General features: G+C 41.2%; 1 pseudogene across 1 annotated transcript in view, besides 2 other annotated features; it reads left to right on the top strand.

Moving 5' to 3' along the window:
* LOC101059997 (alpha/beta hydrolase domain-containing protein 17A-like) overlaps positions 1 to 3,922 on the top strand; it is a 30,190-nt pseudogene extending 26,268 nt beyond the window's left edge. Inside the window, exons 4-6 of the transcript XR_007064495.1 lie at positions 745 to 934; positions 3,188 to 3,366; positions 3,478 to 3,922. The product of XR_007064495.1 is annotated as an alpha/beta hydrolase domain-containing protein 17A-like, transcript variant X1 (transcript). The remainder of the gene's footprint in view (positions 1 to 744; positions 935 to 3,187; positions 3,367 to 3,477) is intronic.
* Positions 1,163 to 1,760: an enhancer, noted in NCBI's record as "H3K27ac-H3K4me1 hESC enhancer chr15:28701932-28702529 (GRCh37/hg19 assembly coordinates)". NCBI's record gives its function as "activates a minimal SCP1, AML or CMV promoter by ChIP-STARR-seq in primed H9 embryonic stem cells {active_cell/tissue: H9 hESC(primed)}" and the evidence as "EXISTENCE:reporter gene assay evidence [ECO:0000049][PMID:30033119]".
* Positions 1,761 to 2,359: an enhancer, noted in NCBI's record as "H3K27ac-H3K4me1 hESC enhancer chr15:28701333-28701931 (GRCh37/hg19 assembly coordinates)". NCBI's record gives its function as "activates a minimal SCP1, AML or CMV promoter by ChIP-STARR-seq in primed H9 embryonic stem cells {active_cell/tissue: H9 hESC(primed)}" and the evidence as "EXISTENCE:reporter gene assay evidence [ECO:0000049][PMID:30033119]".
* Positions 3,923 to 17,057: the final 13,135 nt, after the last annotated feature.

The following is a 17,057-nucleotide window of genomic DNA, read 5'->3' as shown; positions in this document are numbered from 1 at the left end:
CAGACTAGTATTTCAAGTGTAATTTCTCTATTACTAATTTAGTCTGATTTTTATAATTCATCAGAATAAATCAATAACTGACTTAGAAATCACTTCTATGATTTTAAGTAATTTTCCACAGAAACATTAACAATACCACAAGCATTAAAATGTTGAGAAATATTTGTGTATGATGATGTCAGTGCATGTTCCTTTCCTCAGCTAATAAATTCTAGTATAAAGTTTTCAGATCTGTACACAAAAATGGATCATAAAAATATAATCATGGTAGAAACTATGTAGCAATTTTATGAATGTGGAGAAAGAGTTCAAATAGTACTTTTGTACTGTACTGTGTCCATGCAAAGCTTCATTCAAACAAACAAAAACAATACTGAATTTATTATGTTAAAATCTTTAAGGACACTCTGGTAGATGAGATCATTTTCCTGCATTTGTTCACACTCTCTCCTATCTCCATCTCTAAGGGACAGATATAATTCCCCACTCCTTGACTTTGATCCTTGCTGTGTGACTCTGCTTAAGCCAAAGGGGTATCTTAGAGGATTTAAGGCAACAGAAGCCTGGCATGTTTTTGCACAGGCAGGTTGCACTCCTGACTTTGGCCACAACAATAACATGCTTCAAGTACCCGGGAGGGCTGAGGAGGATCACAAATACATGGAACAGATCTGGACACCAGCTGCAGCTTCAAGCCAATGCTAGCCAAGCCCAGCCTACATCAGCTGAATTGCGTCTGACCAGCGGTGCATGAACAAGGAAGGCAACGCGTGGACCTGGGCCAGATGAGCAGCTTCTACATTGGCCTGTGTTCCCGCCTCCACTGCAACATCTTCTCCTACGACTACTCCGGCTACGGTGCCAGCTCGGGCAGGCCCTCCGAGACGAACCTCTACGCCGACATCGACGCCGCCCGGCAGGCCCTGCGCACCAGGTGAGGGCGACCCCGGGGGCAGCTCAGCCTGGGCACACCGGAGAGGGGACCAGGCCGGGGGCCGGGGGGAAGGGCGGGCTTCCCTGGGAGGAAGGTGGGCGGCCCTGCAGGAGAGGAGCCACAGTGGACGCATGCGGCCAGAGAGCCGGAAAGGTGAGCTCAGGCGTGCGGGTGCCGCCTCCACATGGCTGAGGTGTGGCCAGGTCCCCCCACACCCTGGCCTGTGGAGCCAGGCTCTCTGGGATCCCCTGGCCTGAGGACAGGAAGGGGCTGAGCTTGTCACAGGGGCGTGGACGCCACCCGGCGGGAGGGGGTGGGTGGTGTCTGGGGGGGGTCTGTGCACGTGTGGCTGGGAGCCCAATGGCCGAGGCAGCACTTGGGGCCAGGTGAGGCGAGGCTGCTGCATCGAGGTCCCGAGGCCTGGCCCATGAGGCCCTGTGGCTGTGGAGCTCGGCCATCCCGGGGCAGGGCCTGCTGGGTCAGGTGCAGACCCCCAGCACACACCTGAGGTCTGGGCCAGCCTCCATTCCAGATCCAGCCCTCCTAAACATCCAGCTCCCCAGCCCTGCGCTTTCCTGGGCCCTTCACTGGTGTTTGAGCACCGCCCACCGCCCGGGCCAGTGCTGCTCTGGATCAGAAGACCCGCGTGGGCCTCTGGAGGCCTTTCCTGCTTGCCACCCGCTGGGGCTGTCTCGTCCTGGCCCTGCCCCCCACTGGTCTGCCCCGCTCCTGCAGGGGCCAGGCGCAGCTCTGAGAAGTCAGAGGCCCTGGGGAGGTGGGGTCCTCGATGCCTTGGCGATATCCCAGGCAGTCCCTTCTGTGGGCCTGGGAGCTGGGTCCCCTGGCACCACCCTGGCTCTGGGGGCCTCCTGGCAGTGTGGGCGCAGAAACCAAGCACCACTTCATGCAGCTTCCTCGGCCCCCTCCTGTCTCTACTGCCCAGGGCACTGGCAGAGTCACACCCGCCATGGCCAGCTCTGAGCTCTGTCTGCTCGGCCATCTGTCCTGCTGCTGCTTTGTCCTGCAGGAACCTCGGCCCAGAGCCATGAGGGGGAGGCCAGATCGCGCTCAGGGCCTCCACTGAGGATGTGTCTTGTTTGATTGTCTGAGTGGTGACATCCAGGTGGCAGCTGGGGGTCCTGCCTGGAGCAGGTGACAGGGCTGGGCTGGCTCAGCACACTACTGGCCTTGGCTGCCAGGGAGCAGGCCAAGGAGGCTGAGGCAGAGCTGGGGCCACAGGCACCAGCCAGGCAGCATCCTTTGGGGCATGGGTGAACAGTGAGCTGTGGAGTGCTGCCAGGAGGCTGGGATTCCAGGCCAAGGAGGGGTACAGCCCTGCTGGTGGAGTCCGAATGCCAGGCAGATGGGACGCACACCTGCCCATGCTCCTGCCTCGCAGGAGGGCATCTGCCTGGGATCAGAGCCTGGAGCGTGTGGGAGGAGAGTTCTGGGGTTGCGGCATCGACAGGGTGGCAGGTGGGTCCCGCGTGGTTGGGACTGGGCACGAGGAGGCCTTGGTACTGGTGCTGGACCAGCTGGGCCAGGGGCCGCACACCAGTGACCTGGCGGTGGGGGTGGCCCTGGGTGGGAGCTGGTGGTGCTGAGGTGGCCGAGGACTTGTCCACTCCCAAGGGAAGGCGCTGGTGGGAGGAGGTGCTGCCCCCGCAGCCGCCACCCTCGATGTTGACCTGGGTTGGGCTGGCACCTCATTGAGCATGGGACTCCGAGAGTCCAAAATTGGGTGGAGACATGTGGGGACACAGCTGCCTGAATTCCTCATGGCCAAGGGGGTGGGCAAGGGCTGCAGGGAGGAAGAGTGTACCCTGTTCCGGCCAGTGCACCAGGAACGGCTTTCTAACCTGGGCAGGAAGGCATGAAGCATTCAGGATGTGGGGGGGCACACAGTTCCCAGTGTGCGCCCAGGGATGACCAGGAGAAGGAGAGGCGCCAGGGCTTCCCCTACCCTAGCCCGAGGGGGACTCCCTAGCCAGGATCCAGCAGATCCTGGCTAGGAAACGCCAGTGAACCATAGCGCCAGGGAACAGGACCAGGCCGCCGGCTCCGCCCACCGCTGCGGTCTTGGGGGACTGGGGGTGGCCCTTGGGACTGCTGTGGAGCCTGGGCCTGACCCACTGACTAGGCTGAGCCGGGAGACTGGAGAGTCGCATCTGGAGCTGGGCCCGGGGACGCCCGCTGGCGGGAGGGGTGCGCGCGAGTCGGAGGCCGCGGCTGACCCTGCTCCGGTGCCGCCAGGTACCGCATCAGCCCGGACAGCATCATCCTGTACCGGCAGAGCATCGGCACGGTGCCCACCGTGGACCTGGCCTCGCGCTACGAGTCCGCCGCGGTGGTGCTGCACTCGCCGCTCACCTTGGACCTGAGCGTCGCCTTCCCGACACCAAGACGACCTACTGCTTCGACGCCTTCCCCAAGTGAGCAGGCTGGGGCAGGGACAGGGGCGGGGACGGGGACTGGGTCGGGGACTGGGGCGGGGCGGGGCCCGGGCCCGGAGAGGTCTCACCCGCCCCACGCCCCTCCCGCAGAATCCAGAAGGTGTCCAAGATCACGTCGCCCGTGCTCATTATCCACGGCACGAAAGACGAGGTGATCGACTTCTCGCAGGGGCTGGCGCTCTAGGAGCGCTGCCCCAAGGCCGTGGAGCCGCTGTGGGTGGAGGGCGCCGGGCACAAAGACATCCAGCTCTACAGCCAGTACCTGGAGCGCCTGCGCCGCTTCATCTCCCAGGAGCTGCGCAGCCAGAGCGCCTAGCGGCCGCCGGGGCCCCAACCGGCCGGACTTCAGCAATAAGGCGGCCCCCGGACCTCACCCCGCACCGGCCTCCCGGGGGCTGCATGTGGACCCCCAGGTGGCCCGGGGGACCCCGCCCGGATCCAGGGGCCGTGGACGGTGTACAACAGAGCTACCCACTCCTTTCCTTTTGGAAGCAAGAAGAAATATGTGAAAACGGAAATTAAAGATTAAAATTTTTTTTTTAAAAAACACAATGTTTATTAATATACTCCAAAGTTGTGTTCTTTTTTTTTTTTTTTTTTTGAAATGGAGTCTCACTCTGTTGCCCAGGCTGGAGTGCAGTGGCGCGATCTCAGCTTACTGCAACCTCCACCTCCCAGGTTCAAGCGATTCTCCTGCCTCAGCCTCCCGAGTAGCTGGGACTACAGGCGCGTGCCACCATGCCCAGCTAATTTTTTGTATTTTTAGTAGTTACGGGGTTTCACCGTGTTAGCCAGGATGGTCTCCATCTCCCGACCTCGTGATCCGCCCTCCTCGGCCTCCCAAAGTGCTAGGATTACAGGCGTGAGCCACCGTGCCCGGCCGTTTTGCACAGATTTTTTAATGCAGAATCATGTTGGCAATGGGTAATGGCTACCAAGGTGCCATCGTTCCACATTCCTGTTATTCAGTCATCACATCTACTATGTGTGAGCCATAATATCTTCTAAAATGAATTATAACTATGTTCGAATTGTTATTTCACTAAGTAATCTCTGCTACTTTAGTCTCTATTTCATCTCAACGGAATGCCTTCTGAGTTCCTATAATTGTGACTAATTCTCTGAGACAACATCAGCAGTATCACTATAAACTATGAAACCTACAAAGGGAATTTCCTCTTTTTCCTTTTTATTATAGAGATGCTTTTTTGTTTGTTTTCTGCAAGCAAGCACAGTCTTAATCAATTTTGTATGCCCATACCTAGGAGAGCCCCTGATTCATAATAAGACCTCAATAAGATTTGTTGAATAAAGTGAAAATAGGATTTTCAGCTTTCCCTCACCACTTTCTTCAAAACAGACTAGTTCATAACTGAAATAGGCATTGTTTCTAGAAAACGGTCACTCCAGCTGATCCCTTCGTTTAACCATTTTTGTACTCCCTGAATCTATGATGATACCTGGCACATAGTGGGTAAGTAATCAATATTTGTTCACTGAACTAATGGAAGGATGAGTGAATGAAACAATACAGGCATTTTAAAATTATAATTCAAAATTAACATATTACTTGTTATTAGAGTGATTTTAAACAGTTATGTTAAGTATATGATAATTAGGAAGATTTACTTTCCTGCTTCATTTAAATTTTAAATATAGTGATCAAGGTAATCATGATTTTCATTCATTTATTCAATAAATGCATATTTAATATTTTTTATCTCACATGATAGATTGCTCCTGGTCAAAGACATTACGATGGTATTACACATAAAGATTTGTTTTAAATTTACAGTATCTTGAAATTTTTCTCTTGTTAATCCACAAAGTATATTTATCCATTGGGAAATATACTTTTTAAAATGTCAGTTAATGATATTTTTATTTTCTATTTTATCTTATTATTATTGATACAAGATCTCACTATGTCACCCACTGCTGGAATGCAGTGGCATAATCATGGCTCACCACAACCTCAACCTCCCAGGCCCAGGTGATCCTCCTACCTCAGCCTCCTCAGTTGCTAGGACTACAGGTGCCCGCCACCTTGCCCGGCTAACTTTTTACTTTTTTTTTTTTTTTTTTGGTAGAGATGAGTTTTCACCATGTTGCCCAGGCTGGTCTTGAACTCCTGGGCTCAAGCAATCTGCCAGCCTCGGCCTCCCAAAGTGTTAGGATTACAGGCATGAGCCACCACTATGGGGCAGATAATGATATTTTTTCAGGAATCGGTAAAACATTGTCCTTCAATGAATTAGTGCAGAAGCATGAAAAAATCTATTCTGAGCAAATCTGTGAAACAGACATTGAAATTAGTATTCTAATAAGGCTTTTGTGCTGTTTGATGATATAAAATAATTTTGCTATGACAATACAGTTACTTAAATGAGAAGTATGAATAACTTGCTTTGATATGTTTGTGGTATGTTTCACTTCTTTTTTAAGAAGGGAAATTATTAAATTTAAACTCTCTATATATGTAAAGAGTGCACATCAAATATTTTAAAGCCCTGAAGAATTAGGTCTTCATTTCAAGAATTATTAAGTGTCTTAAGAACATATTTATTTTCTAGAAATGTTGAGCCTCTTCTTGGGTAATGTGATTCTTTTAAGCATTTTGAAAGGATTTTCTTATTACATTAAAAATGAATGTATGCAATAGGAAGTTACTAGGATAGAGTGAATTTAGCAGCTATCTTGCTTTGTTACATATGTCTTATAAATTAAAATTATATTTTCATAATTAAAAGCCAACAAGCTCATTTGCTTTTATAAGACTAAGAGAAAAGGAGTATTAAATGAAGTTAAATTAGATTTTACCATCTTTTTAATAAGTTTCAGGCCTGGTTTGATAATATATTCCCAGATACATAATTTAAAAATGATCTTTTGGCTGGGCGAGGTGGCTCACGCCTGTAATCCCAGCACTTTGGGAGGCCGAGGCGGGCGGATCACGAGGTCAGGAGATCCAGACCATCCTGGCTAACACGGGGAAACCCCGTCTCTACTAAAAATACAAAAAATGAGCTGGGCGTGGTGGCGGGCGCCTGTAGTCCCAGCTACTCAGGAGGCTGGGGCAGGAGGATGGCGTGAACCCGGGAGGCGGAGCTTGCGGTGAGCCGAGATCCGGCCACTGCCCTCCAGCCTGGGTGACAGAGAAAGACTCCGTCTCAAAATAAATAAATAAATAAATAAATAAATAAGAATTTAGTGAGAGCTGGTTATAGTTTGGAACCTCATTTGTGAAATAAACCATATTTCAAAATATTTTAAGCAGAAATACATTTAAGTTGTAGCCTACAAATTACCAGAATTTGTCCTAGTCACCTAAATAAAAAATGTAAAAGTTCTACATTTTAACGTCCTTTCAACATTTTATGAACAGAAAACCCGGCAGGTAAACAGCTCAAGTCTGAATGGGAAATGATAACATATAAGATCAGCAGCATCCGCGCAAATAAAAAGTCAAATTTTTATCCAACACAAAACAATTACATACGCTTTAATCAAAAAGAAATTAGCAACGGCCAACCCCAATCCCATTACTTTCAAAAAAAGTCCTCTAACTTTCCTTTCCAGTTGAATGTACACTGATTGAAATGGTTGTTTTATGCGGACAATTGATTTTTTTAAATGAAATGTCTAATAGGGAAGTCAGTACATTACACTACCCATTCCAGAAAGCAGCCTTCCATTGAATTTACTCAAACTAATTGCTGAATTAGATGACCATGGAAAGTTACTGAGGGCATATCCAGCACTTTCTTCTGAACCAAAACTAAATCTGTTTTGGTCACTACTGCATTGCTATTCAAAATCAAGGACTGTTCGTCTCTCTGGAATATTAGTATCGTAAGCCTGGGGAGGTGACAATATCATGTAATGGAGTTGTGGGGAAAGGAGTCAGAGTGTTGTGGCAATTCCCGGACCAAGGGAAAGAGTCTGTAGAAGTTCATAGAATCAGCTGACATGCTACGGTCAAAGAATTTGCAATTAGCAATTGACCAATCAATTTTGATTAACTCATTCTGTATGACTATCATAGGCTATTAAAAATAGGAAAGCGTGTTTCTAAAATGGGTTTCATAACAAGTGATTTAATGATAAAAGCTTGGACAGTTTTCAGAATTCAAAAATTCCGAGATACTAATATCTTTAAAAACTCCTGTCATTGTGTGTGTGTGTGTGTGTGTGTGTGTGTGTGTAAACACTACCTGTGTAATCATCTATTGAGATTTAAATTAGGACATTTTCTCAGTGTATCCCAGTTCTAAAGTTACTATTTATTATATTGCTATCCTAGGAACAGAGTGAGAAAAGGCAAAGAGGTAATTTAACACAGTCTTTTTCTGCTAAAATCAGAGTGTCTCTCATCTCTGCCTGAATCCAATACATTGTGATTACTGAAATACATATTATAGAATATCTACTTATTTTGTGGATTTAGGCAACGATTATGATTGTTGCTTTTCTCACATCTAAAAATCAAATTTATATTATACATGAAGACATTTTCTAAAGAACTTTTGGTCTGTATAAAAATGAATACTTAATAGAAACGTAATATTATTTTATGTTATTTGAATTGTTAAGTTTAAGAAAATAAAATGTTTTTAAATCTATTACTTTTAACAACACTGTAACATTTATTGGTTTTGGAATAAAATAGATCCAGAAAATTGCTGTGATATTACTTTTTATGTTTCTTATTGAAAGTAGGTCAATTAATTTCTAAGCAATGGGGCATTATAATTGTCAACTAACAGTGCTCAAGCAGTTAGGATTTTAACTGCTGACACTATTTTCTTTGAAAAATGATAGATGTCATTTAGTGTTTAAAGATAAATTGCTGCATAACAGTGACTTTTTTGCTGATAACTTTGCCATAAGCAAACATAACATGACCAAGAAGTTTCAAAGTGAGTTTTCTAGGCGAGCAAATCTAAATTAAAAAGGCTCTCATATTTCCTCAATCAGATATACTAACATCAACCAAGTGTTGTTTTCAATCTATAATATGAAAGGGCAATTGAGTCTGACTCAAACATCTGAAAAAGTTAATGTTAACACTTAGGAATATGTCTCCCTGTAGGAAAATTTTCACTGGCCGTGGGCTATACCACATTTATCACAGGTGATTTTCAAGGGGACAAATATTGCCCATTTCAGAAACAGGTTTGGAATGCAGGAAACTGCCAGAAAGTAACTGTGAGAGTTTGCACCATGGCTGACCTGGAGGAAGATGTCAGAGTCACAGATGGAAAAGGGAGGTGCATGACTCCCCTCTGTTGCCAAGGTTCCCATTCTCAATTCAGAAGGGTTTGCGGAGGGGGTGAAGGAACATTGAAGTTTCTGAGATATTCCTTAAGGACCAAGCTATAATTCACAGCTATCTATTTACATCAGATCTCAGCTTTTTTTTTTTTTTTTTTTTTTTTTTTTTGAGGAGGGTGCAGGAGGAGATGTGCGCAGAACATATATATACGGCTTGCCCTAAAGGATGAAATAAAATTGTGTATGCTATGACCTCTCTAGGAAGCCTCTAAACTTTTCTTATAAATTGTCTTCTAACTAAAATATTTCTTTTGGCCGTCCTTGGAGTACTCCCAGGTGACACACAGCTCGGGCTAACATTTCTACAGGACTGCTACCTTGATCTCTAGAGAGTCCAATGATGTTCCATACCAATATGTCTCAGCGTCACTGCCGAGCTTCCACCCACACCCTTAACACACAGAGAAAGCTGACACTTTCTGTTAGCTATAATTTTCCTTGAGAAAAACGTGGCAATATGTAGCAAAATACAATTATTAGTTTCAATATGTAGAACGTATTACAAGAAAAAAAAGATGCCAAAAACATCTTATGTCTACTGCTATTCCTATTAGTCTTTATTATCATGAAAAACTGGTCGCATCCTAAATATCCAACTTTCGGTGACTGGGTGAAGGAAAACTGTAATTTTTCCATATGATAGAATAGTATGCCAGCACTAACAACCAGAGAGCAGACTATTTAATGTCATGGTAAAGTATTTGTTTTGTGTGGTCAGGTGAGCAGTTCAGATCATAAAATCAAATGTACCCTATGATCTTATTTTTTGAAGTAAAGTACTGATGTATTTATATGTATAATTAAGTATAGAGAAAAGCCTAGATGGCTTCTCTTATAAGTCTTTTCATTGTTTTATAAATGGTATCAATATTTATTTTTCACTTTTTCCATCAGATTTCCTAGAATAATAAAATTCAATTCCCTCTGATGAGCATTCATTATTCTTTTTTTTTTTTTTTTTTGAGACGGAGTCTCACTCTGTCTGCTAGAGCTAGAGTGCAGTGGCCTGATCTCAGCTCACTGCAGCCTCCGCCTCCTGGGTCATTATTCTTACAGTAAGAAAAAATGAATGTTACTAAGTATCTTCTCTGTCCTAGATCAACTAGGTATATACAAGGTGCCAAATACATTTAATAAAATGTTTTATTCATTCATAGCTTTTTGCAGTACAATTTTTTTTGTATGATTCCCTTGTCCTATCATCTCCACCAATAGTTTTGGTGTGAATTTATACTCTAAAGGAAAGGTGACAACCTTATACAATCTCAGGGCTTAAATACTATCCACGTGCTGATGCTTACAAACATACACCTCCAGTTGTGTGGTCTCCCTGAGTTCTGCACATCCCTCTTGGGCATCTAACAAGCATCTCACAGTTAACAAAACCACTGATTTCTAATCAATCCCAGGGACCCTCCGCCAGGCCTGCTCCTCTCTCAGAATTCCTTTTCTCACTTAGTGACACTATCATCCCACCAAACCTCGCTATCATCTTTCTTCCGTCTCCCAAATTTCCAATCCATTAACAAATCCCAAAAACCCCGCTTCCAATATTTGTCTAAATCTATGCACTTCTCAGCTTATCCACTCTTATTATTCTAGCTCCAATTATGTGGCCTTCTGTCTGTGTTACTTTCTTTTTTCCATTCTTGTACGCAGGGTCCAGTTTTCATAGTGAAGTCCTCATAAAACATGTATTAAATTGTATCAGCTTCTGCTTACAGTTATTTATTTATTTATTAAATTTGTGATGTATTTTTATTTATTTATTTATTTTGAGAAGGAGTCTTGCTCTGTCATCCAGGCTGGAGTGCAGTGGCGCGATCTTGGCTCACTGCAGGCTCCGACTCCTGGGTTCAAGCGATTCTCCTTCCTCAGCCTCCTCAGTAGCTGGCATTACAGGCACGCTCCACCGTGCTCAGCTAATTTTTGTATTTTTAGAAGAGATGGGGTTTCACCATGTTGGCCAGGCTGGTCTCAAACTCCTGACTTAAGGTGATCCACCCACCTCAGCCTCCCAAAGTGCTGAGATTACAGGCATGAGCCACTGCGCGCAGCTAGTTTCTGCTTACAGTTTTAAAATGACTTCTTAGTCTATTTAGGAGAAAATATAAACTCTTTACCAGAGCCTACTGGACTCCCCAAAACATGATGTATGTTTATCTCCTCCCTTTAACTCACTCTGTTTTAGCCACCTGGCCTTCTGTTCTCTGAATAAAATAAACTTATTCCTGCCACAGGGCCTTTACACCTACTTTGCCTTCTGCCCCAGACACAGTTCTCACAGGTTTTCCCATGACTCCTTTCTTCTCCTTATTCAGCATCAACCCAAACATCTGCCCCTGAGTGGCCTTCACCAGCACACTCTTCTTAAATATCTTTCCTTACCTCACCTTGTTTGGTTTTGTGCATAACATGTGTCAGCTACAATACTGGTTTCATTGGTTTGTTTATTTACTTTTTTCTTACAATGGAAAGCCCATGAGAGCAGGGTTGTGTCTGCTTTATTCACAACTTTAACCTCAGTGCCTGTACAGAACCAGGACCGTACTAGAAACTCAGTGAGCATTTGTTGAGTATCTTGAACGAATTAATTATTAAAACATTAAAAAGTGACATTTTCCAAGTAAAAATCTTTATCTACTTCCTTAGTGACTCTAATTGCAGACAATGCAAGGTAGAAATGAGGTTCAGATCAATGGCAGGCCGAGAAAGGCATTTTTGGGTGAGTCCATGCAGGCAATGTTTGCTATTGTGGCTGATTTACTTCCATATACTTTAACACAGGTATGTCCCTATTGTGAGACACGGCATTTTTCATAGTATAAAGGTGGAAAGCGAACTTCATGTTATAATAAAAAATAAAGTAAATTTTATACAAACACTAAGAAGTGATCATCTAAATCTACAGTTTAGAATCTGAAACCTATTCCTATGTTGACATCTTCCATGGCCCTACTCCTTAATTAATAAATTCTGACTTACAGAAGGCTATTTTCTGAATCCTTTCATAGCTGACATTGTGGTGGGTGCTGTTAGCCATCCCTTGATACTGACAGCACAATGGCCATCCCTGCCAGGGCACGCGTACACCATCAGTAGTCAAAAGTTTGGCAAAGTAGGCCGGGCGCCGTGGCTCACGCCTGTAATCGGCACTTTGGGAGGCCGAGGCAGGTGGATCATCTGAGGTCGGGAGTTCGAGACCAGCCTGAGCAACATGGAGAAACCCTGTCTCTACTAAAAATACAAAAAAAATTAGCCGGGCTGTGGTGGCACGTGCCTGTAATCCCAGCTGCTCTGGAGGCTGAGGCAGGAGAATCTCTTGAATCCGGGAGGCGGAGGTTGCAGCGAGCCGAGATTGCGCCATTGCACTCCAGCCTGGGCAACAAGAGGGAAACTCTGTCTCAAAAAAAAAAAAAAAAAAAAAAAAAATTGGCAAAGTAAAACACTTCTCTTCATCTCCAGGAGAGCAGTTCATGAAAGAGCATATTCTTAGATATTAAAGGTAAATTTTCAGTGACACCTGTGCAAGTTATGACTTTCTGCTGTCCTTTCTACATTTCTATCATATAAATCTAGCAGATCTTAAAATGATAGACCTCAAAGGTAGCACTGCATTTGATATTCTCTTGCAACCCCAGAATGAAACTTAAGCATGAATAATTGGAGATCTGCACACTCCTATAAAGAATAAAGAATGGGACTCAAGTTCACACAGAAGCTAAAAAAGAAAGGCAGGATGACTTCCCTCTGCCACCTTGAAAAGGCTTTGAAACCTACAAAACAAGAAATGGGGAGGGGGGTTGCTGAATGGGTAATAAATATATGAGCCCTCCTCCTAAGGGTTTTTATAATCCTTTCTATCTTGGGTATCTATGTGTTCCTCTGTGAATGTGTTTTCTTATAACTGCACTTCTCATGGAACAGCTCTATCCTTATTATCTGTAACAGGGTTTCTGTTCTGCTTTCATCATGTATATATCTTAGAAAAACAATCTGAACAAATGTCCAGTTAATATGTATATTTATGTATTTATAAATTATATGTATATGCTATTGCACTAATACATTACATATTTTATATACCTTACTACAACCAAAGAAATATAAAAGAATGAGACGGAATAAATATATATTTAAGTTCTAGTTTTTCTTCCTCCATCCTCTGTGGAATGCTTACCCCACTTAAGAAACCCCTAAGATTTCACTGTGTCCTCACAGTGAGATTGTACTCACTCCTCAATGAGAGAACATTAATATTAAAGCTCTTTTGGTTTTATTATCAATTATGCGGTCGAATTTTCAAATAATCTAGCTGTACATATTATACTACAGTGGACGATACTGTGAGGTACCAACTGGACCAGCTCAGCAGAGGCTGGAAGGTTTAACTCATCAGTAGTCATGATACCACTTTTCTCTTAGACTTTTCCAATAGAATTTATTTTTGGTTTTGCCAGCCAGGGTGAGAGCTGTTTTCTATAGGTATCAATGGTAGAATAAGCATTGTTGCCTCACAGAAGGGAGAAGTCTATGGTATTGGACACCAACCCCCAAGTCCTTCTTACATATCCTCTCCTTGAGAGATAGGGACTCGTGAAAAATGGAAACCCAGGAATTGGCTCTGCATAAACTTAAGCTTTGTCTTTGCAGAACAATTATGAGAAGCCTACTACTGACTCTGGAATATGTTGTATGCAATAAAAACTCTGTACTATTTAGGTATTGTTTCTGATGCACGATACTAGAAATAAGCATCAACTAGCCACGCAAAGTTCTGCTTAGGAAAAATGAAAGTATATTCAAATATAAATTTTTATAAAATGACTATTAACTAAAAAAAAAAATAGCCTTTCTTTCCCCAAACATCAATAGATGCAGAATGCAGAGTAATATTTACAACATGCAACATCATGTTTGGTTCTAATTAATAGACTATTTCAATGAAATATTATTTTGATAAATATGTTCATGCTTCATTTGTCATGTATTAAAAACAGCAATACACACTCACTTGATGAAAAATATTATTGAAGATAAAACAGAAGTATTTCATAAACAACCATTAGGTAGATTATAAGATAACATATAAAAGGTGATATAGGAAATAAATATTAGAAGTACATATTATTCATCTATGACCTAATTTGTATTGAAATGCTGCAAAAACCTTCATAGCAACATTCAGAGAATTACCTGAAAGAAAACTCTGGCATCTTCTATGGTCTTCTATGTGTTTTCTTTAATGGTCACAGTGATTCCCACGTTCAAACTTATTCACTGAAGACAATGCATGTCCTGAGATTCTCATTATTGAAATGCTGAGGCTGAGGCTTGCTTTTCACATATACAGATTGTCCAACATTAAAATACCACTGCATATTGACTGCATACAAAAATCATTAAACTAAATATTCCCAAAAGTCCTGATACAAATAATGTGTTACAATATTTTAGGCAGGATTACCTGATAGGGTTAACAAATTTATCAAGTATAACAGAAAGTGACCACTTATTATTTATTATTGGCTATACCAAAAAATATAGGATCAGGACTTACCTGAATAACATGCTTCAGTTTATCAATAATCTGATTTATCACAGGATCAGTTCCTTTGACTTTGACTTCAGGATTTCCAGACTGGGCTTTGATTCCATTTCCAACCACATGCTGAGTATAACTAGCAAAGGGAAATGTGAAAGATATATGACTTAGTACCTGATCAGAGTATTATCTGCCACAGCTATCTGAACATAGTTGAGGTCAGAATTTCCTCCTTTAGAGAATACACCAATGTATTTTTTTCTTGGAACAGAAACTGGCACAGCTATAATGCTTTTGCAGGTAAAATGCTAAAATGCTTATTGTGCCATTAGATCATTCTAAAAATAATGTTATTCTCTCAATGGACCCAACCAAAAATTACTTGTTTTTTAATACTACTTAACAATATGCTACAAAGAGTTGACATATCTCACTTTGTTACCAGTTCTTGCTGAATTATACATATGTCTGTACCCCTATTGTCTGGGTGAGCTTATTTTACGCAGTCCCAATCTTATTTTTTAAATATCAGGCTACTATACATGTGTGTGTGTGTGTGTGTATATATATATAGAATATGTATAGAGAATATATATAGGATACACATATAGAATATATATAGACTATATAGAATATACATAGACTATATAGGATATATATAGAATATACATAGACTATATAGGATATATATAGAATATACATAGACTATATAGGATATATATAGAATATACATAGACTATATAGGATATATATAGAATATACATAGACTATATAGGATATATATAGAATATACATAGACTACATAGGATATATATAGAATATACATAGACTACATAGGATATATATAGAATATACATAGACTACATAGGATATATATAGAATATACATAGACTACATAGGATATATATAGAATATACATAGACTACATAGGATATATATAGAATATACATAGACTATATAGGATATATATAGAATATACATAGACTATATAGGATATATATAGAATATACATAGACTATATAGGATATATATAGAATATACATAGACTATATAGGATATATATAGAATATACATAGACTATATAGGATATATATAGAATATACATAGACTATATAGGATATATATAGAATATACATAGACTATATAGGATATATATAGAATATATATAGACTATATAAGATATATAGAGTATATAGACTATATATAGGATATAGATAGAAAATATATAGACTATATACAGGATATCGATAGAATATATATAGACTATATATAGGATATAGATAGAATATATATAGACTATATATAGGATATAGATAGAATATATATAGACTATATATAGGATATAGATAGTCTATATATAGGATATAGATAGAATATAGATAGACTATATATAGAATATATGTAGAATACAGATATAGAATATAGATACAGAATATATATGGAATATAGATATAGGATATATATAGATAGAATATAGATATACACACACATATATATTTCCTAATTAGGTCCTTCAAGAAATAAGTGATTAAACTTTTTAATAATGATAGTATCAATTGGACATGATCACAATAATATTATTAATACACTCTTTGATTTTTAAAATAAACTTGAACCCATTTCTTTTCATAGTCATAGAGGGGCTTAGAGATAAGAATTTCAGTATCCATTAGGGATTTGCAGTATACACCAGTAACAAATAGTAGAAAGAAAACAGTTATATCTATTTTGTTAATGTGTAATGATATTCTTTACTTTAGAAAATAAAATTATATATAGTATAACTATATATAATATATAATATATATTATATGTAAAATATATATAACTGTACAAGTCAATATCATAAATTATAACTGTACAAATTAAAATCATCAAATTTATAAGCAACGAAAATGTGCGAAGTATTTCCTAAGTAGAGGAAACAATCTGCTTTCGCCTAGGTTCACCTAAACAAAGATCTGGTAAATCATGTGGTAGGTAAAAAGGGTCATTTCACAGGTGGTGAAAGCCATTTGAAATTTCACTACCTTCCCCAAATTACAATCATACGTCAACTTAGAATTAATAAAAATATTTAAATTCATTAGTCACAAAGATGTCTTAAGTGAATGCTATATTCCAAGTCCTGTACTAGGTCTTTAGGATTATAAGAAGGTGTAAGACTCAATTTTTGTCCTCATAATGCTCATTACTTAACCAAGAATATAACAGATTAATTAACTCATTCATTTGTATGCTTATTCATTACATTTTACTACATTTAAAAAATACCGTAGATTTCAGCCATATAAATACCCTTGTTTGCCTGACAGAAGAGTGTAATATAAACACAACTGAACCGTTAAAATACAACATTATGAAAGTAGATGGAAGGAACTGCACGTGCCACGTGTGAGGAAAGATAAGACAGGTGGTAGATATTCTGGATATAGAGAAGCCCATTTGAACTCAGACACTAGGGAAAAACTAAAGGAGAAGTTATAACTTGAGGTAGCCTTGGATGTATTGAGGTAAGAAGAGGACATCTATGGTATGGTTAATGAGAACTTCAGGGCAAAGGATGTCATCCCAGCAAGGAAAACGGCAAAGGTACGTGAACAAGGCAGACAGGGAGAACAGGCCTCTATTCACAAAGCAGAGAGTACAAACGTTGGAAAGCAATGGATAAAGGGCCACACCCTGAAGATTCCACCCTGAATGTTGAAGACTCTCCACTGAGTGATATAATGGGCTCTGGAGATTCATAAGGGGGAAGTTGGCAGGTGGGTGTGGAATAAAAAAGCTACAT

This window comes from Homo sapiens, chromosome 15 (genome assembly GCF_000001405.40).
Source record: "Homo sapiens chromosome 15, GRCh38.p14 Primary Assembly".
NCBI lineage: Eukaryota > Metazoa > Chordata > Mammalia > Primates > Hominidae > Homo > Homo sapiens.
This window is presented reverse-complemented; position numbering and strand designations above follow the sequence as displayed.